The sequence below is a fragment of the Homo sapiens genome, chromosome 21 (genome assembly GCF_000001405.40).
Source record: "Homo sapiens chromosome 21, GRCh38.p14 Primary Assembly".
Classification (NCBI taxonomy): domain Eukaryota; kingdom Metazoa; phylum Chordata; class Mammalia; order Primates; family Hominidae; genus Homo; species Homo sapiens.
Genome location: NC_000021.9, coordinates 33,682,297 through 33,703,855, shown reverse-complemented (window position 1 = coordinate 33,703,855; position 21,559 = coordinate 33,682,297). Strand labels below are relative to the sequence as shown.

The following is a 21,559-nucleotide window of genomic DNA, read 5'->3' as shown; positions in this document are numbered from 1 at the left end:
ACCAAGTAGGCAAATAGGCACAGTCCCATTTACTTCTGTTTTACAACAGGGCCTACATCATGATTGCTTACACTTTCCCCCTTTAAAGGTTATAGGTGACAATTGTGGGAAATTTAGAAAACTGAAAAGATAGGTGAAAAAAAAATCCACAATTCCACTCTCCGAAGGCAACCTCTATCAACAGCTTGGTATTTATATTTCCTTTTAGTCTTTTCCCAGTGAAAGTACAATTGTTTCCTTCTTTGCCACACTTTACACAAAATGCATGCTTTCAGCAAGTTATTAAAACCTTTCTAAACATATTGCTGGACCTAGATATTTTATTGAGACAAACACTCCTTATTTAGGTACAAAAAATAGAAAAACATAGAGACTAAGTATTAAGCAATGAAGAAACAGGTAAATAGTTTCTTCAAGTTTGGATAATGTTCAGATTTTTAAACCAAAGCTAGAATATGTTTAAGAAGTCTTTAATCTTTCTTCATTTCAGCTTCAGGAAAAAAGAGCCAATTACAGAAAGTCAAAAGAAAAAATACTGATGATCCTTAATTTTGGCACTTACATTAAAATCCCTAATGTTGATATAGATAAGTAGAAGGCCTCTAATAAACATGTATTTATAAACTAGAATGACCATCCTTAAAACAACTTTATTTCTTTATATATATACGCATATATATTCTTTATATATATATTCTTTCTTTATATATATACAATTTATATATACGTATATATGTGTATACACACACACACACACACACACACACACACAGACAGAGTCTCGCTCAGCCACCCAGGCTGGAGTGCAGTGGTGCGATCTCGGCTCACTGCAATCACTGCAACCACCATCTCCCAAGTTCAAGCGATTTTTCCATCTCAGCCTCCCGAGTAGCTGGAATTACAGGCACCGGCCATCATGCCCGGCTAATTTTTGTACTTTGGTAGAGACAGGGTTTCACCATGTTGGCCAGGCTGGTCCTGAACTCCTGACCTCAGGTGATCTGCCCGCCTCAGCCTCCCAAAGTGCTAGGATTACAGGCGTGAGCCACCGTGCCTGGCTAAAACAATATTTATTAAAATGTCATTTTGCATGATAAAAAAGTATATTGAAACAGATTTGTTATTTCAGTTCCAATGTTTTGCTATCATAAACATGGGAAGATTATTCAGAAAATATGCAACAATTCCAAAAAATAAAAATCAAAACAAAACATAAACAATTAGGGATTTTAGGTTCTAGCACATAAATACTAAGTTGAATAGTTAAAAAGGTAAAATTTAACCATGTGGAATAAAATGTCTAAAGTATTAATTACTGGCATAATTTAAAACTTAACTTTATATCAAATAATTAAACTGTAATTGGTCTTTTAAAACAAGTATGTCATTGTGCTGTTCTTTCAACTTTCCTGAATGTTTGAAAATTTTCAAATTTTTTTGGCCAGGTGCGGTGGCTCACGCCTGTAAACCCAGCACTTTGGGAGTCCGAGGTGGGCAGATCGCCTGAGGTCAGGTGTTCGAGACCAGCCTGGCCAACATGGCAAAACCCCATCTCTACTAAAAATATAAAAATTAGCTGGGTGTGGTGGTGAGCACCTGTAATCCCAGCTACTTAGGAGGCTGAGTGCAGGGGAATCGCTTGAACCTGGGAGGCGGAGGCTGCAGTGACCTGAGATAGTGCCACTGCACTCCAGCCTGAGCAACGGAGCAAGACTCCGTCTAAAAAAAAAAAAAAAAAAAAAAAAAAAAAAAAAAAAAAAAATTTTTTTGTTTGTTTTTTTGTTTTTTGAGAGAGAGTTTCGCTCTTTCGCCCAGGCTGGAGTGAAGTGGTGCAATCTTGGCTCATTGCAACATCCGCCCTCCAGGTTCAAGCACTTCTCCTGCCTCAGCCTCTCCAGTAGCTGGGATTATAGGCACCCACCACCACGCCCAGCTAATTTTTCTATTTTTAGTAGAGACGGGGTTTCATCATGTTGACCAGGCTGGTCTGGAACTCCTGAGCTCAGGCAATCCGCCCACCTCAGCCTCCCAAAGTGCTAGGATTCCGGCCTTTTTTTTTTTGAGATGGAGTCTCGCTCTGTTACTCAGGCTGGAGTGCAGTGGCACAATCTCTGCTCACTGCAGCCTCCGCCTCCTGGGTTCAAGTGATTCTCCTGCCTCAGCCTCCCAAATAGCTGGGATTACAGGTGCGTGCCACCACACTTGGCTAATTTTTTTTTTTTTTTAACAGACACAGGGTTTCACCATGTTGGCCAGGTTGGTCTCAAACTCCTGGCTTCAAGTGATCCACCCACCTATGCCTCTCAAAGTGCTGGGATTACAGGCGTGCGTCACCATGCCCAGCCAAATTTTTTAAAAATTAAAGGGAGAAAAGGCATGTTAAAAATAACAAGCATGCAAGATGAAATGAGGTAATTCAAACATATTTACAGGCCAGGCACAGTGGCTCACACCTGTAATCCCAGCACTTTTGGAGGCCGAAGCAGGGAGATCACTTGAGTCTAGATCAATTTCCCACAACAGTCACAGGAGTTCAAGGCTGTTCTGGGTGACGTGGCAAAACCCCGTCTCTACAAAAAATACACAAAAACTAGCTGGGCGTGGTGGCATGTGCCTATAGTTCCAATTACTTAGGAGTCTAGGGCGGAAGGATTGCTTGAACCCAGGCCTAAGCAAGCCTAATCCATTTATAAATGTTCCATTATATACAAAATACCCTTTCTACCAACAGTAGGTTCTTAACTACTGAGACCAGGCATGCTTTGGTTGTGACTCCAGCAACATGGATTGGTGGCATTGCATGAGCTGAGATTGCACCACTGCACTTCAGCCTGGGAAACAGAGTGAGACCACATCTATAAGAAAACACACACACACACACACACACACACACACACACACACAGAAAAAAGAAATCTTCTACATGTACTACTAATACATAGTCCAGATAATCAGCAAATTTCTAATACACCAAAATAGGCTAATCTAGGCTTAATGACCTAGAGACTAAAAGGTGATTATGAACATACATCATCTGTTTTTCACTTAATTATTGACCATCCCCTCACAAAAATCTTATAATCCTCTTATATAAATGAAGAAACTGGGCCCAAACAATTAGTGACAGGCAAAATTTACAGAAGGGGAGAGTGGAGGCCCAGGCTGTTCAGTGTAAGATGCCACCAACCCGCGCTGCTGGAGTCACAACCAAAGCATGCCTGGTGTCAGTAATTAAGAACCTACTGTTGGTAGAAAGGGTATTTTGTATATAATGGAACATTTATAAACGGATTAGGCTTGCTTTCTCCCTACTACTGTCCATAAAGTCACAGTGTTTCAGCAGCTCTCAACTGTGAACAACTACATCTGTCTCCCTCCCTTCCAAAGTAAGGCAAGATGGCTAGAAGGTATTAGAGGCCAGAGGAGTAAGGACAGCAGAGACCTCTTCATCTTCATATTTAAACAATTCAGGGCCAAGTGCGGTGGCTCACACCTGTAATCCCAGCACTTTGGGAAGCCGAGGCAGGTGGATCACCTGAGGTTAGGAGTTCGAGACCAGCCTGGCCAACATGGCAAAATGCCATCTCTACTAAAAATACAAAAATAAGCCAGGCATGGTGGTGGGCACCTGCAATCCCAGCTACTCGGGAGGCTGAGGCAGGAGAATTGCTTGAACCCAAGGAGGTTTAGGTTGCAGTGAGCTGAGATCGTGCCACTGCACTCCAGCCTGGGCAACAGAGAACAAGACTCCGTCTCCAAAAAAAAACAAAACAACAACAAAAAAAAAACAATTCAAGCAGGGCAGGTGGCTCACACCGATACTCCTAGCACTTTGGGAAGCTGAGGCAGGAGGATCTCTTGAGGCCAGGAATTCAAGACCAGCCTGGGCAACATAGCAAGATGCTGTCTCTACAAAAAACAAACTTAAAAATTGGGTGTGTGGTACATGCCTACAATCCCAGCTACTTGGGGAGGCTGAGGCAGGAAAAAATGCTTTTGTCCCAGGAGTTCGAGGTTGTAGTGAGCTATGATGGCACCACTGGCACTGCAGCCTGGGCGGCAGTCAGACACTGTCTCTAAATAAAATAAAATGAAATTGCCTTTGGGCTTGCTTATTTATTTATTCTATAATTTTTTGAGATAGGACCTGGCTCTGTCACCCAGGCTGGAAAGCAGTGGCACAATCTCAGTTCACCACAACCTCCACATCCAGGGCTTAAGCCATCCTCCTACCTCAGTCTCCCAAGTAGCTGGGACTATAGGTGTGTACCACCACACCTGGCTAATTTTTGTATTTTTGTAGAGACAGGGTTTCACCATGTTGCCCAGCCTGGTCCTGAACTCCTGAGCACAAGCAATCTGCCCGCCTCAGCCTCCCAAAGTGCATGAGGCACCGTGCCCAGCCAGCTGGACTTGTATTTTAACAGGTCTATTTCTAAACCCACTGAATGGTGTCCCTTCCCATCTTCAGACTCATTTATTTGAAACAGATTTTTATTATGGTACTAAGGTAATAAGTGTAATTGATCTTTTATAAATAAATATTTTTAAAAATTTGTTTTAAAGTTGCTCAAAAGGTCTAATTTCAGCTTGAAGAAACTATAGGATAGTAAGATATAGAATACAAGATTAAAATTGGTAGAAATGTGGCATCAATGAAACATTGAGGGGAAAGAAATGTCCAAATGTGGGAGAAACATAAAAATGTGTATATTTTAAATATCTCAAAGGATATAAAAACATCCTCAGAAACATAAAAAAAAATTATCTGATATTTGAGAGTTGTTAGGGTTTCGTTTCAGGTATTAATCTATCTATATCTGTCCTTGATCTAGAAAAACAATTAAAAGATACCCCAAACAAATACTGCCTCCACATATTATCCTTTTAAAGGCTTTGCATCTATAACAATTCAAAATTGGAAAACATTAAAGAAAAATACAAGGAAACCTTTCTCTTATTTAAAATAATCTGCAATGAATGAAAACAACTGGAAGAGCCTATGTCCCTGTTCTATAAGTGAGTCTTATACCAGATTCCTATCTTGAGATGACTCTTAGAGCAGGAAATGAATGAAAAAGAAGAAAGCTGCCCTGTAAGATTACACATAAAGGCAAGAGGTACACAAAGCCCTTTTAAAACACAGAGAAAAGGTACTGAAAGCGAGACAAAAAATGGACAAAGGAACTGACAAATCCCAAACATATAGCCAACCTGATCAATGCCCTATTGTCATGTCTGAAGCCCTGAGCCTCAAATGTGGCTTCTACATGTGCTATTTGAAGTAGAAGAACAAGATGACCTAAAAGGGATATGCAGCTTGTTCATAAGTAATATTTTAAAACTGCATAAAGGATAAAGAACCTGATAAAAAGAAGAATCTTATTACTAAAACTGAAAAAGGTCATTGTCCACATTATATCTGACAAACTATCATGATCACTCAAGTTGTCCTCTAAATAGGGAACAGGCATTCCTCCCAGAATTTCTGTTGTTGTTAGGGGGGAGTGGCAGCAGGGGATGGGAGGTGAAAAGGAGACACTCAGGAATGACCAGGGTCCAGCAATCACTGTCAGGTACAGCTGTCAGCACATCACTTGGCAACACTCAATGGCATTTCGGACGATTTGTCCCTTTACTCCTGCTTACTTTCCACAAAGAGAAATGTCAGGGTATCTAGCCTGGAGAGCTTCAATAGGCAGATTTTAACCTCAGTTCTTCTAAATCATCCTTACTTTAATATTGGCAGGAAGAGAGAATTCATCAGGGAGCTAATAAAACCAAAACCTAGCTACAACATAAAGGTGAAAAATAAGGGACAGCAATGAAAGACAGGAAAGCAATTCCTGTTCAAGAGATAAATGGAATTAACAGTCCCCTCTTTGAAGCTCTTTTTTCTTCTTCCAGACCACCAACTAACTGCAAAGTAACATCTGAAAAGTTATTATCCATAGTTTGTCTATTTGTTTGGAAAAATCAGATTGTAGAGCCCTACAGATGCAGATAGGAGAGCCATTCATAAAGCTTCAATAAAGTGACTTTATTTCTTCTAGAAGGTTCTATTTTCCAGTGGGTCATCAAGAATAAAACATTATATCAAGTTCCTGAAAGCTAAAAAAGTACTTCCTGGAAAAAAAATATAACTCTAAACAGCAAACAATAATTTTAAGAACCACTGATTGAGATAAGAGCCTTTCAAATCAAAATTTTATTTTAAATATAAGTTATGGAATAGATTCAAATTAACAGCCAAATTAATAATGAGATTGTATAAGTTTAAACTATTTTCAACTCACATACTTTCCAGTCCTCTCAAATATAAATTAATAAGTGATGAAAAAATTAAAATTTCACAAATAATTGCAAACACTTTGTCACATGAAAAAAAAATGTAATGGCCTAGGTTACAGGAAAACAAAATGTTGTCATCTGTGTAATGTAGATATATACAGTCACTAAAGAAGAGATAATCTAGGCTAGGCACAGTGGCTCACACCTGTAATCTCAGTGCTTTGGGAAACCGAGGCAGGCAGATCACCTGAGGTTAGGAGTTTGAGACCAGCCGGGCCAATATGGTGAAAGCCCATCTCTACTAAAAATACAAAAAAAAAAAAAAAAAAATTAGCCAGGTGTGGTCGTGTATGCCTCGGGAGGCTGAGGCAGGAGAATCGCTTCAACTCGGGAGCTAGAGGTTGCAGTGAGCCGAGATCACGCCTCTGCACTCCAACTTGGGCGACAGAGTGAGAATCCGTCTCAAAAAAAAAAAAAAGAGACAATCTAAAAGTTGTCTTCCAAAACTTCCAAATAAAAACTCAAGTTTCAACCATTGCAAAGCCCATACATAAAGGAAAACATTAAAATAAACTTCCATGTTGTAGCATAAGAACTGAAATCACACTTAGTCTTAAGACAATACAGTGCACTAATTTACTACTGTCACCTTTATCTCTGGGTATTTAAATTGTATACCTCTAAATACAGCCAGCAACCAAGCCTGGTATTATCAGCTCATCGGCACGAACAGTGGTTAAAGGTAAGCAGAGAAAAGTTTGAGAGATATGGCCCTTCAGCTTTAGGAAAGAAGAAACTACATAGAAAGTACTAACTGTGTAAAATAACACCATAACACCGAAAAGGGCAAGAAAGTAGGGAAGCCTCCTGCCAGATTTTTAAGCCAGTTTCAACAAAACAGTGCAACAGCTGCAAATGGATGAATTAAATATGGGCTGAAAGACGGTAGTAAAAGAAATGAAATATGCACATACTGTATAAAAAACCATGAGCCAGTAATTATAAAATGCCCTACATTTAAACATATTCATCAAAATTAAATTGGCTACATGTAAGCCTTGATAACGAGTAAGTAACTGAGAATCCAGTGAATACTTCACATGTATGACATCTTCACAGCTTTAGTGCCACAATGGACAGCAAAGACAATAAGATTTTCCTGTCCAATACAACTGAGTCCTTTTGCCAGTTAGAGTTGGTGGAAAACTCAATGGAGAGACTGCTAAGGACTGTTAAGTATTTGCCCAATCAGGAGATAAAGGCAATCTGCACAGGTACATATTGATAAATCTGATCCACACATAGATGCTGGCTACCTCCTGCTACAGCTGAAGATTATTTACCAATGTGTAAAGAATGGGAGAAGTCCAACAACAAAAAAAAAGCCTTACTGCAACATCAATGAAAAGTCACTGGGTATCACGAATGAGAGCAAAGGACAATGCAGTCATTAACAAAAACCAACTGCGCTCTGCTAAGTGACCTAGGGGACTTCTATGCACAAGATTTATCACTACTAGAAGTTTTAGAACTAAAAACCATTCAATAACATTAGCATCACTAAAACACTAAATAGACTGCAGCCAACAGAAAGCCAGACCATTTTAGAAGGCAACAGACAGATGACTCAAATATTTAATCTCACTTCACTTGATTGAGGTGCACTGAAATATATTCAAGCCTGAGGAAAGGGAGAAAAGCTGAAAAGAATCCTGCTGCTGGTCATCTTTCCTGGGGATTTCACTCCTTTTCTTTACATGGATCTGGCTGCACCATTAAAGTACAGAAAAGAACGTTTCTGTTAAAAATCACAAACACACTGAGATCCAAAATAAAAAGAAGAAAATCCTAGATTTCCTCAATTTCTTATTTTCTTTAGAAAGGTTCACCTTCTACCCATAATATAAAAAACTTTCTAAAGGCCCACTTATACTCAAAATGTGTTTGGTTTATAATCTAATTTATTCACAATTCCAGTTTATGTATGTTTGCACATTCAAATTTCACTGTGTTTTAGTTTCACGCTTGCAAAATCCAGCAGAGGTATTAAGCTTTAAAATTCCAAATACCATGGAGAAGATTTTTAAAAGATAACAACTGTTACTGAAGAAAAGTTCACACATTCAATATGTACTTCACTGAATAACATTTCCCTCTCTAACAAAGCTTTTCCTATTTCCTTGACACTCCAACTTTTAAAATGGATCTTATAAAGTTTTTGTCAATTTTATTTGGGAATCTAAACCAGTTTACTTTAGGTCAACCTAGTTCAGAAAGTTTACCACAAGGAAAGAGGTAAGGCCTCAAAATAAATAAGTTTAATACAGATATCTGATATTAATACTGTTAGAGCAAAGAGACCCTCTCTCACACCACTGGTGGGAGGGCAAACTGTTACAACTCCTTTGGAAAGCGTATCATAGGTAAGTATATCAAGAGTAGAAAAAAGTGGCCGGGCACGGTGGCTCACGCCTGTAATCCCAGCATTTTGGGAGGCCAAGGCAGGAGGACTGCTTGAGGCCAGAAGTCTGAGACCAGCTGGGAAAGATGGTAAGACCTCATCTCTACAAATAAAAAAAACAAATACAGAAATCAGCTGGGCATGATGGCACGCACCTGCAGTCCTAGGAACTGCTCAGGCAGGATTGATGGAGCCTAGGAGTTGGAGGCTGCAGAGAACCATGATTGCACCACTGCATTGCAGCCTGAGTGAAAGACCCTGTCTGTTTTTTGTTTTTTGTTTTTTTTGAGACACTCTTGCTCTGTCTCCCAGGCTGGAGTGCAGTGGTGTGATATCGGCTCACTGCAATCTCCGCCTCCCAGGTTCAAGTAATTCTCCTGTCAGCCTCCCAAGTCGCTGGGATTACAGGCACCCACCACCACGCCTGGCTAATTTTTGTATTTTTAGTAGAGACGGGGTTTCGCCATGTTGGCCAGGCTGGTTTTGAACTCCTGACCTCAGGTGATCTGCCCGCCTCGGCCTCCCAAAGTGCTGGGATTACAGGTGTGAGCCACAGCGCCTGGCCAGACCCTTTCTCTTAAAAAATAAAGGAAAAATGTTCTTTCCATTTTACCCAATAACAAAACTCCTGCAAATCTGCCATAAGAAAATAATCCAAAATACAAAGATATATGTCCAAAGGCATTCACCATGACTTTATTTTTAACAATTAAAAACTTAAATAATCTTAACTGTTCAATAGCATAGGAACAGTTAGGTAAATTATGAAACATCCAGCCAGGCATGGTGGTTCACATCTGTAATCCCAGCACTTTGGGTAGCCAAAGTTTGGGAGGATTCCTTGAGCCCAGGAGTTTGACACTAGCCTAAGCAACAAAGTGTTTAAAAATAAATAAATAAGTAACAAAAATAAGACCAAAACATTAGCTAGGTATGGGAGCACATGCCTGTAGTTCCAGCTACTTGGGAGGCTGAGGTGGAAGGATCGCTTGAGCCCAGGAATTGGAGGCTGCAGTGAGCTACGATCGTGCTATTGCACTCCAGCCTGAGCAAAAGAGCAAGACTCTGTCTCCAAAAAAGATATATCCATATAATGAAATATATGACAATTAAAAATATAAAACTTTATATGAGGTATTTGTCCATTGTGTTTAAGACACAGAAACAAAATATATCAAAAACTTGTAAGCTGGATAAAGTGTTGTAAATATTTTCACTTATATATAAAACTTTTACTATGATACAGTTACTCCTTTCGTACACATTGTATCAGATAAGATAACCCTGTGCCCTTCCACAGGACTGTGAAAGCCCAGAGAAAAAAGCTACCAACCCTGACTGAAAGAGTAAGAAATCACTGCAGAATAGCAGTGTGTATGATTTAAATTAGGAGTGCTATATAGACACAAGTGGGAACAGCATTGCAGGCTAAAACATAGCAAGAAGGGGCTGGGTACAGTGGCTCACGCCTGTAGTCCCAGCACTGTGGGAGGTCGAGGAGGGTAGATCACCTGAGGTCAGGAGTTCAAGACCAGCCTGACCAACATAGTGAAACCCTGTCCCCACTAAAAATACCAAAATTAGCAAAGTGTGATGGCGCATGCCTATAATCCCAGCTACTTGCAAGGCTGAGGCAGGAGAATTGCTCGAACCTGGGAGGCGGAGGTTGCAGTGAGCCGAGATCACACCATTGCACTCCAGCCTGGACAATAAGAGTAAAACTCCATCCCCCACCCCCCCACCAAAAAAAACAAAACAAAACAAAACAAAACAAAAAACAGCAAGAAGGGTATGAGCAAAGCACTATATAAAAATACAAAAGGTATCAAGACTAGTCCCAAGAGAAGAGCGGCTATGTATCTGATTTTTTACTTTTCTTAGAAAATTGAATAAAATCACATAAAAAATTGTCAGATTTCATGTATTACCATTTAGAAAACAGTTGATTCATAAAGCTTACAGCGTTCACCTACATTTGAAGAGCTTTTCATAGAAATAGATTTTACTGGGCTGGGCGCGGTGGCTCATGCCTATAATCCCAGCACTTCGGGAGGCGAGGTGGGCGGATCACATGAGGTCAGGAGTTCAAGACCAGCCTGGCCAATATGGCGAAACCCCATTTCCACTACAAATACAAAAATCAGCCTGGCATGGTGGCATGCAAAAATTAGCCCGGCATGTTGGCATGCCCCTGTAATCCCAGCTACTCAGGAGGTTGAGGCAGGAGAATCACTTGAACTGGGAGGCAGAGGGTGCAGTAAGCCAAGATCGTGCCACTGCACTCCAGCCTGGGTGACAGAGCAAAACTCCGTCTCGAAAAAAAAAAAGAAATAGATTACTGACAATGTTTAAAATTATCTTTTATGTTCAAACATCTGAAATCCTAATTTTCATATTTCCTTCCTTCTATGACTATATTTAATGGATGAGATTCCATTATTTCTAAATTTAGTCAAATTCAGAAATTTGATGTAAAAGAAGTTATTCTGTTGTATAAAGAAACTAGAAATGCATATAAATGAGATACTTACACATATATTTTAAATTTCAAGAAAGCTGCTAAAATGTAAATGTTACCCAGTGTTGTAACCTGAGTATGTTGCTCCAGTGGAAATCACAGGATTGACAGCACTAAGGGCAGCAAGACCATGAGTAATTTTAAAGCAGAGGCAAACTCCCACTGATTCTCACAGCAGGTTAGCAAAAGCAAATTGAGCCATCACAGGCAGGGTCCAGATGATCAATGCTTTAAAGTTATGGAACAGAAAGCACGCCAGCTAGAATCCAGGTAGGGTGCTTACTGGTACGGACCTCGTGAGTTGCTTAGCCTCTTTCTAAGCTTCAGATTCTTTGTCTATAAAATGCTAGTATAATTAGCACCTAAGTTAAAAGGCTCCTAACAGTGACAAAGACCCTCTCCTTGACCAAACTCAGGCTTCTCTGAGCCCTCCTCAACGAAGCCGCAACCTCCTCCAGTCCCCTCCTGTCTTCAGCCTACCTAACTCAGTTTTACAAACAATCCTGCTAAGTCAGTTTAGTGAGAATCACCCCCATCTGAGATATCTGATCACCTTTGATATTTGATCAAATTCCTCACCCCCACCTTTGATGTATACATTCTAGGCCTGCCTTCGGCAACAATCTTGTTAGGTCAGTGCCATGGACCAAATGTGTCCTCTCAAAATACATACACTGAAGCACTTATCCCCAAGGTCATGGTATTTGGAAAGCGAGCCTTTGGGAGGTAATTAAAATCATGAGAGTGGAGCCTTCATGAATGGGATTGGTACCCTTATAAGAACAGACATCAGAGAGATGATCTCTCCTTCTGCCAGCAGGAAGGTGACTGTCTGCACACCACAAAGAGGGCCCTCACCAGGAACTAAATCTGTCGGCATCTTGATCTGAGACTTAGCCTCCAGAACTATAAGAAATAAATTTCGATTGCTTAAGGCATCTAGTCTATAGTAGTTTGTTACAGTAGCCCAAGCAGACTAAGCCAGTTTTATAAGATCTACTGACCTTGATGTCTCCACTTAGCAATTTACCATTCACTGACCATATTCTGCTACTTGACTGTAATTCTCTATTTGTCCTTGCTGGATTCAGAATTGAGCTGGATCTCTCCCCGCCATTGCAATAGTCTTGAATAAAGTCTTCCTAACTATTTTAACAAGCATCAGAGTAATTCTTTAACAAAGATAATTAAATGAGTTTTAACATAAGTAAAACACTTAGTTAGAATTGTCCCAGGTGGAGTAAAAAACTTAAAAATGTTTTTTTCAGTCACCATTATAATCCAGTAAATGTAACAAAATTAATGTTTAAGTGTTACATTGCTCAGCTTAAATCAAGTATTGACTGTTTATTATATGACAGTTACTGCGACAAACGTAAAGGTCCAAAGAAAGACACAGGTCCTGCCTCAAAGAGCTCATATTTAGAACAGGAACAGAAAGTAAACAAACAATTCTGGCACAGTGTGTTTCATACAACACCGCAGAGCAGGCCAAAGAACAAAGGAAGCAGAGAAGAGAAACTGATTAACTGAGCATGGAAGAAAGGCCACCAGCCTACGAAGGATGAAGAGAAGTTCACACAGCTGCTTTCCAGGTGAGGGTAAATACTCAGCAGGAATGAAAACAATCCCAAAGGCAAGGATGTGAGAGTGGAAACAGGACTTGCCCATGGCCCATTGGGGTGATGGAGTCACTGAAAGATTTTCGGCAGAAATGGGTCTTTTTTTTTTTTTTTTTAACTTTTACATATATATATATATATATATATACATATATATATATATATATATATATGTATATATATATATACACTTTTTTTTTTCTGAGGCAGAGCCTTGCTCTGTTGCCCAGGCTGGAGTGCAATGGTGCAATCTCAGCTCACTGCAACCTCCACCTCCCCAGTGCAAGTCATTCTCCTGCCTCAACTTCCCCAGTAGCTAAGATTACAGGCATCCACCACCATGCCTGGCTAATTTTTTTTTTTTGAAACGGAGTCTCGCTCTGTTGCCCAGGCTGGAGTGCAGTGGTGCGATCTTGGCTCACTGCAAGCTCTGCCTCCCGGGTTCACGCCATTCTCCTGCCTCAGCCTCTCGAGTAGCTGGGACTACAGGCACCCGCCACCATGACCGGCTACTTTTTTCTATTTTTTAGTAGAGACGGGGTTTCACCATGTTAGCCAGGATGGTCTCGATCTCCTGACCTCGTGATCCTCCTGCCTCAGCCTCCCAAAGTGCTGGGATTACAGGGTGAGCCACTGCACCGGGCCACGCCTGGCTTATTTTTGTTCATTTATTTTTAATTCTTTTTGAGACAGAGTCTTGCTCTATCACCCAGGCTGGAATGCAGAAGTGTGATCTTGGCTCACTACAACCTCCACCTCCCAGGTTCAAGCAATTCTCCTGCCTCAGCCTCCTGAATAGCTGGGACTACAGGCATGCACCACCACGCCAGGCTAGTATTTTTGGTAGAGATGAGGTTTCACTATGTTGGCCAGGCTGGTCTCAAACTCCTGACCTCAAGTGATTCGCCTGCCTTGGCCTCCCAAAGTGCTAGGATTACAAGTGTGAGCCACTGCACCCGGCCTTATTTTTTTTTTTAATTATTTTTTTTTTTTTTTGAGACAGAGTCTTGGTCTGTCGCCCATGCTGGAATGCAGTGGTGCAATCTCAGCTCACTGCAACCTCCACCTCCCGATTTCAAGCGATTCTCCTGCCTCAGCCTCCTGAGTAGCTGGGATTACAGGCGTGCGCCACCATGCCCGGCTAACTTTTGTATTTTCAGTAGAGACAGGGTTTCACTATGTTGGCCAGGTTGGTCTTGAACTCCTGACCTCAGGTGATCCACCGGCCTCAGCCTCCCCGAGTGCTAGCATTACAGGCATGAGCCACCATGCCTAGTCTATTTTTTATTCTTTAGAGATAGGCCCTTGCTACCAGGCTGGAGTACAGTGGTGCGATCATAGCTCACTGTAGCCTCGAACTCCTGAGTGCAAGCAATCCTCCCATGTTAGCCTCTACGGTAGCTAGGACTAGAGGTATACATCACTGTGCCTGTTAATTTTATTTATTGTTATTTTTTGTAGAGACAGGGTCTTGCTACCAGGCTGGTCTAAAACTCCTGGACTCAAGTGATCCTCCCACCTCAGCTCCCAAAAAGTGCTGGGATTACAGGCCTGGGCCACTGCGCCAGGCTCAGATTTACCTTTTAGAATGCTCCCTCTGGGGCTACACAGATGCCGCATTTGGGAAGGTGACAGCTTAAACCTAAATAGACACAAATTACATAACTGTCAAGAGACTGTAGACACTGTCCATCAACAAGTTCAAAATTGAAAAGAAAAATTGAGCACTGGTAGTTTATAGAAGCATACCAAGAGAATGATATTCTAAATCAGTAAGTCAACATTAGGCAATCCTGAACATTTGATTTACTGTAGAACTTCTTCAGATTAATAACTATGAGCAAGTGACCAGGCCAGGCACAATGGCTCATGCCTGTAATCCCAGCACTTTGGGAGGCCGAGGTGGGTGGATCACCTGAGGTCAGGTGTTCAAGACCAGCCTAGCCAAGACGGTGAAACCCCATCTCTACTAAAAATACCAAAATTAGCCGGGCGTGCTTGTAATTCCAGTGACTCAGGAGGCTAAGACAGGAGAATTGCTTGAACCTGGGAGGCAGAGGGTGCAGTGCACCGAGATCGTGCCACTGCACCACTGCACCACTGCACTCCAGCCTGGGTGACAGGAGCGAAACTCCATCTCAAAAAAAAAAAGAAAAAAAAAAGGACTAGTGAACTATTCTTAGAGAACTGAATTTATCCTTTGCAGAACACTGCCCAAGCTCCCTCTGTCTTTCCTCTTTCTTGCCATTCTAAACTTGGGCCATGGGTCCTATTTGGACCCCAGAATGGTCTCAGTGGATTTTTTCTGTTGTTCCCTCTGCATGCTCTAAGCCTACAACTAGATCTATTGGAAACTGATGTTCATTGTCTGTTTCTCAGACAAGACTACATTCCCCTGAGAGCAAGAACTGCATTCCCAGCCTCTGTTACATGGTTTGGCCCATAAAAAGCACACAAACCATGTGTATTCAATGAACGCATTTTAGAATTAATAAATTAAGTTCTGAGTAATCTCTGTGATCACCCTTCCACCTTCAATGGTCACTTAGTCCTCATCCACATAAACTCAGAACTAAACAAGGAGTGTTTTCTATTCAGATTCCTGCTACAGTGTAGTCCTACGAATGTTTGGGAACAAATTTTAATTCCCGAAAGAGACAAATACCAAAACAAAGAAGAAATAATGATTTTGATCTTGAACCCACATACGTTCCAAGGAATACAACAGAAATGAGCCCTTAGTTTCCTAAACTTCATGGTATTATATTAGCCATGTAAGTTTCAAGTCCATTATCCAGCGTTCTAACAGAAATACATGAAATAACAGTCCAGCTAATAAGGCTGATGCTTAAACACATGCCTTTTCAAGAAAAAAAAAAAAGGCAAACAAAACAGTGATGATTTTTTGAAAACTTTATATCATAAAATAGACAAAGCAGCTTTTTGAAATCTTAGATAAAGTAGGTAATCATATTCTAGAAATCTGCTATTTTGGAAGCCACAATCAAAATTCTTAGGAGGTTCCTCTATCTGTACAAAGCACAAGTTTTCCTAGAAACAGTCTTTGTATATTCAGCCTGAAAAATCAAACAAACTCAGCTTAACATCAAAGGTTCGCATGTTTATTTTATTTACTCAGTCTCAAAGTATGTTACTTACAACTCTTTGTTAAGCATCTTTTAAAAGCAAAGTGATTGTCAATGAATGCCAATTCAAGTTGTATGATATGAGGGCCATTTTCAAACACTCCAGAAGCTACGAACAACTGTCCCTAACTATGTATTTGGAATGCTGTCCTGAAAATGTCATTTCATTTGTTCCTGAACGTTGGTTCATTTTCAAAGTTAACATGTTTGAGTAGGTCAACATAACATAGATCACCTGAGAGAAAGAGGAATGCTGTTCCCTAAAAAACTACAAAATCCTTAGGCCTTCAAGTTCTACAGATTAGAAACATCAAAACTCAAATACATTTCAGATTGTCTTATTATGTAAAACTCATGCCGATAAGCATCCTAATGTGGCTTGAAAATTCTTTTTTTTTTTTTTTTTTTTTTTTTTTTTTAAGATGGAGTTCTGCTCTTGTTGCCCAGGCTGAAGTGCAATGGCACGATCTTGGCTCACTGCAACCTCTGCCTCACAGGTTCAAGCAATTCTCGTGCCACAGCCTCCCGAGTAGCTGAGATTACAGGTGCACGTCACCAAGCCCAAATAATTTTTTTTTTTTTCTTTTGAGACAGAGTCTCGCTCTGTCACCCAGGCTGGAGTGAGGCCTGACTAATTTTTGTATTTTTAGTAAAGACAGGGTTTCACCATTTTGGCCAGGCTGGTCTCAAAACTCCTGACCTCAGGTAATCTGCCCACCTTGGCCTCCCAAAGTGCTGGGATTACAGGCATGGGCCACCGTACCCAGCTGAGGCTTGAAAATTCTTTAACTATTAGTTATAAAGTTAACCAAAAGAAAAAGACCATTCTGCAAAATATATAGGAAGCATGTCCAAATTGTGTTGAAATATCCACCACATTGGCCACTGACAAACAAAACCACCCAAACCAGATAAAGAGAACAATTCCATCCATAAACACATAATGAGAACCCAAAAAAACTGAGGAGTTTCGTGACCTAGCTCTAGTCTCAGATCTGTTCACACATTCATTCTATAATTCTCTAATTTATGCCAGGTAACATGCAGGACCTCATTTTGACTTTATTAGATGGCACCAATCTTCCCTGGAGTGGTTAGACAAGTAGATCATCCATCTTGAAATGTGATATATAAAATGGAAAGGGGAAATGAGACAAAAATTGAGCTCAAGAAAGCCAGGCAATAGACGAACTGATTCACACTGGCTGGTCACACAGACTGTGAAACATGTCACTGTAAACAGTAACTCTACCCTGAAAATGGAGAGGCCAGAAGGATACATCGGCGAGCACTCAGCACAGTTCAATTACCTTGCCATTAACTTACCCACCCAGCCAGACTCATCACTTGCACTAAAAATAGGACATAAATGCTTTTCTAGCATTCCAGCTATGAAAAACTTAAGATAACAAATTTCAAAACATTTATCAGAAAAATATACCAGGAAAAGAGAAAAAGCAATATATATATATTTCTAGTGACAAAAACACAAATTGAGAAAAATGACATTAACACCTTGCTTTGATATGGCACCTATCTGTAAAGAAGCTTAAATACATTTGGAAATTAAAAAAAAAAATCTAATCACAGTAATTCTAACAACATCCCTATGAAATAGGTAGAATGTAAATATATAATTACTTCTGTTTAGCTACTGAAGAAAAGTAGACACATATTTCCCATTCACTGCTAATGACATTCTTGAACTAGCTCAGTCCAGCACTTTGAGCATACCACAGAGCCAAGTCATCAATTACCTTCTAAGTTGTAATAAAGCAAAATATAAATGTGAACCCCACAGTTTTCTATGCTTAAGTACTAAACTCTTAAGAATGCACAAACAAGTATGGCAAAATTGGCTTCAGCTTTAGAAGGAAAACAAATATTCAATTCAGTCTGATGAATCTACTTTTTTAAGAAGTAAAATTGAGAAATAGTTATGATTATTATTAAAACCACTTGAAATGCAGAAATTATAGAGAAGAGTGAAAACTCAATTTCCCACACTCACCAACAGGAACTGACAGCTTTATGCCTCCCTCAAAGGACAAAAGGAATTCAGTTTAAAGTGCAAGGTCAAAGTATACAAAAAGACACACTGGCCTGAGAAACCAAGAGGTTTAACAACAAAGAATGAGTCAACCAATACTTGCTGATCTTGAGTACTAAAAAAAGAGAATTTTTTTTTTTTTTTTTTTTTTACTCAAAAAGGAATTAATTTGTCCCACTGATGGCTAGGAAAAAGGATCACCTCTAAGTGTTTTAAATGTGTTTTTAAGAGCTATTATGAGGTAGCTTTAAAAGTTGGTATATTATTACAGCGTTGAAGGGGTACTTCCTAAATATACCCAATACATCTAACTCCTTTCAAGGCCAACTCTTGGTGAAATAATTCTTTCTTCCTTTCAATACTATTTAGATAAGGCACCACCAAAGCAGTACAGAATGACTAAACCTGAACTTGCTACAGGAATTTCCAAACAGATAAGAACTTGCAAATACGTCCCTATTTAAAAGACAAGGGAAACTTGAAGAAAGTCTCTGATTCCCTGAACGCCGAGTATATCCAGTGAAAACATAAACTCCTTTCTTAAAACATAAGCTCTTCAATGCAGACACTGTCTCCTTAAAGTTGTATTCAGACCTTAGCACCTGTGCCAAGAGTAAATGGTTTCTATTGTCACTATGAAACGCAACTTGCTTTAATAAAAGGAAGTGATGTCTAGAATTTGCTTCAAAATAATCTGGAGTGGAGGGTGGCAGGATGGAGACAAGATTAGCTGAGAGTTAACAGTGACTGTAGCTGGGTAATGATACTACTCTCCTTTCTTTTGTAGATGTTGAAATTTTTCATAATAAAAGGTTAGACAGAAAGAAAAGAAAGCTAGTTTTAGAAAGTAAATCCCCTTTAACTTGACTATTTCTTTGAGAGTTACTTAACAAAGAATTCACAAGGACAGCAATTTAATCTCTTAAATTCTTTAAAGTTATAAAACAATTACAATTACTCTTCAGTTCTTCTGTAGTTCACACAAGTGGAAGAAGCTGAACTAGGAAATTACCTACTCTAGATTAATGTTTTCTCTCTTATATGTCATAAGAATTACATGACATATAAGAATCATATAAATATCAGGAATAAATTAAACCTGATTTAAAAGAATGACGGGTCATTTTTTTCCCTCATCCTAATAAGAGACCCTCTTTCTGAGATAATTAAAGGAAATTATAAGTACCCTAGGAAAACTGTTTCTACCCCCAAATACAGGTTTTAAGTAAAGCTTAACAAATTTTTAACTATCTCTTATATCAGTTCCTACAAGCTAACCTTAGATTAAACTGAACTTTTAAACTGCCTTAACCTTAATAAATGTCCTCATTAATCATGCTATTCCACATTTTAAAACTTTCATTTTTAGGATCCTGCTAAGAATTACAACACACAAAGGAAAACAACCCCTTGACTGTCTTTTAGTGTGAATCGGTACTCAGATGAGTGCCATCAAGATCAATTTAGTCTCTAGCAATGAGTTGAGACATTTGACAATTAAGATTAATGTCTGACCTGTGAGTTGACCCTAATGGACACCTTCCTTAAAGCAGATGCATGGCAGATTAGATAAGTAGTCACATGGAAACAAGGTTATTACTGAATCACATTTCTCTAAGGAGTTATCAGCATTCTACTTATACAGAATTAACCGAAATGCTTTAATGGAACAGGAAAAATAAAAATAAAACATAGCATGGGAAATGAAGACTAACTCACAGGGCTCACATTGAGTCTCTAACAGATGTTACACGGTGGCTTCATTCTCCTCCTTTTTTCCCCCTTTCCTCTCTTTATCTGGTAGCTTTACTTAGGGGCATCGGCTCCAATAGCAAACAAGCACATTATTTAAGCTGTCATTCTTGCACACATTCCCAACCTACTTGGCAGAGTGGATATTTCTAAAATGGATAGCAACTACAAATATTAAAATAGAGAAATTCATCAAAATGCAAATGAAAACTGGTCACTGAGTTCCCTAAATCTACATTTAGTATTTCAAATATTTGGAAACTGCATTAAGCACAGGAGTTATTTAAAGGAGTTTAATAAATAATCATGTCAGATATCTGTAAAATGGACACAAAAGGTACCTTTTAGTAACATATTTATAAGGAATTCAATCTGTTCATTGCAGGAGACAAACCAGTTCTCAGATCTCTACCGAGAACAAAAAATATTTCACACATTCACCTCAGCAGGGTGGATTTCCAGCACTGGGAAGAGCCAGATGACTCAAGACTCAGCCATGTTTCCATGGCTTGAAGAAAAGATGATTAATGATGCAAAACAACTAGGCATGGGGAACTTGTACAATGGCTTGCTTACCCAAGATCAGCTGCTAGCTAAAAAATGCTTCAACCTCTGATAAACAGGGCCCTCAATGGACAGGTTCAAACAGGGGCTTGGTTCTTGAATGACTCACATTAAGCTTATCTAGCACATCCGTCACAAAAAGACAGTAGGACTAAAATCAACTTATTATCAAGCTCTTCACTTTTAGATCATTGAAATGACTGCACAAATCCCAAAATATGAAAAGATGATCTCTGAGTAAAAGCAGGAGGAAAAAAAAAAAAGTCAGCGCCTGATTCCCCAGGAGCTGATTATCCAGTCTGAGAATCGCCAAGGCACCTTATTTCCTCAGGCCAACTGTCTACCTTTCATCATTCTGGTCCCTTTCACTCTTGCCATGGTGAGAGGGAAGAGAAAGAGAGTGTTTGGTTAAGTAAATAGTTCATATATTTGAAGGAGGAAATTCAAGAAGAGAAAAAGAGAACAAGGGTAAGATAAAATTAATCTTATAAATACTTGTCTATTTCATCTACGACCTTTACAACTGCCGATTGGCAACATAACAAATAAAGCAATAGATACTACTAAAAGTACAAAACTAAGTGATCCTAGTGTGACAATAAATATAAACAATGTTCAGAAGCCATATGGGGAAAAAAAAAAGGGCTCAAGCCTGCAATCCCAGCACTTTGGGCAGCCGAGGTGAGTGGATCACCTGAGGTCAGGAGATCAGCCTGGCCAATGTGATGAAACCCCGTCTCTACTAAAAATACAAAAATTAGCTGGGTGTGGTGGTGCACACCTGTAGTGCCAGCTACTGGGAGGCTGACACACAAGCATCACTTGTACCCGGGAAGCAGAGGTTACAGTGAGCCAAGATGGTGCCACTGTATTCTTCCAGCCTGGGCAACAGAGAGAGGCTCCATCTCAAAAAAAGAAAGAAAAGAAAAGAAAGAGGCTGGGCACTATGTGGCTCATGCCTGTAACCCCTGCACTTTGGGAGGCCGAGGCGGGTGGATCACCTGAGGTCGGGAGTTCGAGACCAGCCTGACCAACATGGAGAAACCCCGCCTCTACCAAAAATACAAAATTAGCCGGGCGTGGTGGCGCATGCCTGTAATCCCAGCTACTAGGGAGGCTGAGAAGCGAGAATCGCTTGAACCTGGGAGGCAGAGG

The 21,559-nt window shown here is 39.9% G+C and overlaps 1 protein-coding gene across 25 annotated transcripts in view, besides 4 other annotated features; it reads right to left on the bottom strand.

The window, feature by feature from the left end:
- ITSN1 (intersectin 1) overlaps positions 1-21,559 on the bottom strand; it is a 257,361-nt gene that overhangs the window by 196,006 nt on the left and 39,796 nt on the right. For 2 of the 25 annotated variants that reach the window (XM_017028428.2, XM_047440945.1), the window contains exon 2: positions 14,473-14,534. The exons of the other annotated variants lie outside the window; for them this stretch is intronic. The gene's annotated coding sequence lies outside the window, so the exon portion shown is untranslated. The remainder of the gene's footprint in view (positions 1-14,472; positions 14,535-21,559) is intronic. 25 annotated transcript variants of the gene reach the window in all.
- Positions 6,607-7,108: an enhancer, noted in NCBI's record as "H3K4me1 hESC enhancer chr21:35069053-35069554 (GRCh37/hg19 assembly coordinates)". NCBI's record gives its function as "activates a minimal SCP1, AML or CMV promoter by ChIP-STARR-seq in primed H9 embryonic stem cells {active_cell/tissue: H9 hESC(primed)}" and the evidence as "EXISTENCE:reporter gene assay evidence [ECO:0000049][PMID:30033119]".
- Positions 7,376-7,994: a transcriptional cis regulatory region, noted in NCBI's record as "H4 fragment used in the reporter construct". NCBI's record gives its function as "negatively affects activity of a beta-globin enhancer-driven SV40 promoter in transfected K562 erythroleukemia cells {active_cell/tissue: K562}" and the evidence as "EXISTENCE:reporter gene assay evidence [ECO:0000049][PMID:30886051]".
- Positions 11,210-11,736: an enhancer, noted in NCBI's record as "OCT4-NANOG-H3K27ac hESC enhancer chr21:35064425-35064951 (GRCh37/hg19 assembly coordinates)". NCBI's record gives its function as "activates a minimal SCP1, AML or CMV promoter by ChIP-STARR-seq in primed H9 embryonic stem cells {active_cell/tissue: H9 hESC(primed)}" and the evidence as "EXISTENCE:reporter gene assay evidence [ECO:0000049][PMID:30033119]".
- Positions 11,737-12,263: an enhancer, noted in NCBI's record as "OCT4-NANOG-H3K27ac hESC enhancer chr21:35063898-35064424 (GRCh37/hg19 assembly coordinates)". NCBI's record gives its function as "activates a minimal SCP1, AML or CMV promoter by ChIP-STARR-seq in primed H9 embryonic stem cells {active_cell/tissue: H9 hESC(primed)}" and the evidence as "EXISTENCE:reporter gene assay evidence [ECO:0000049][PMID:30033119]".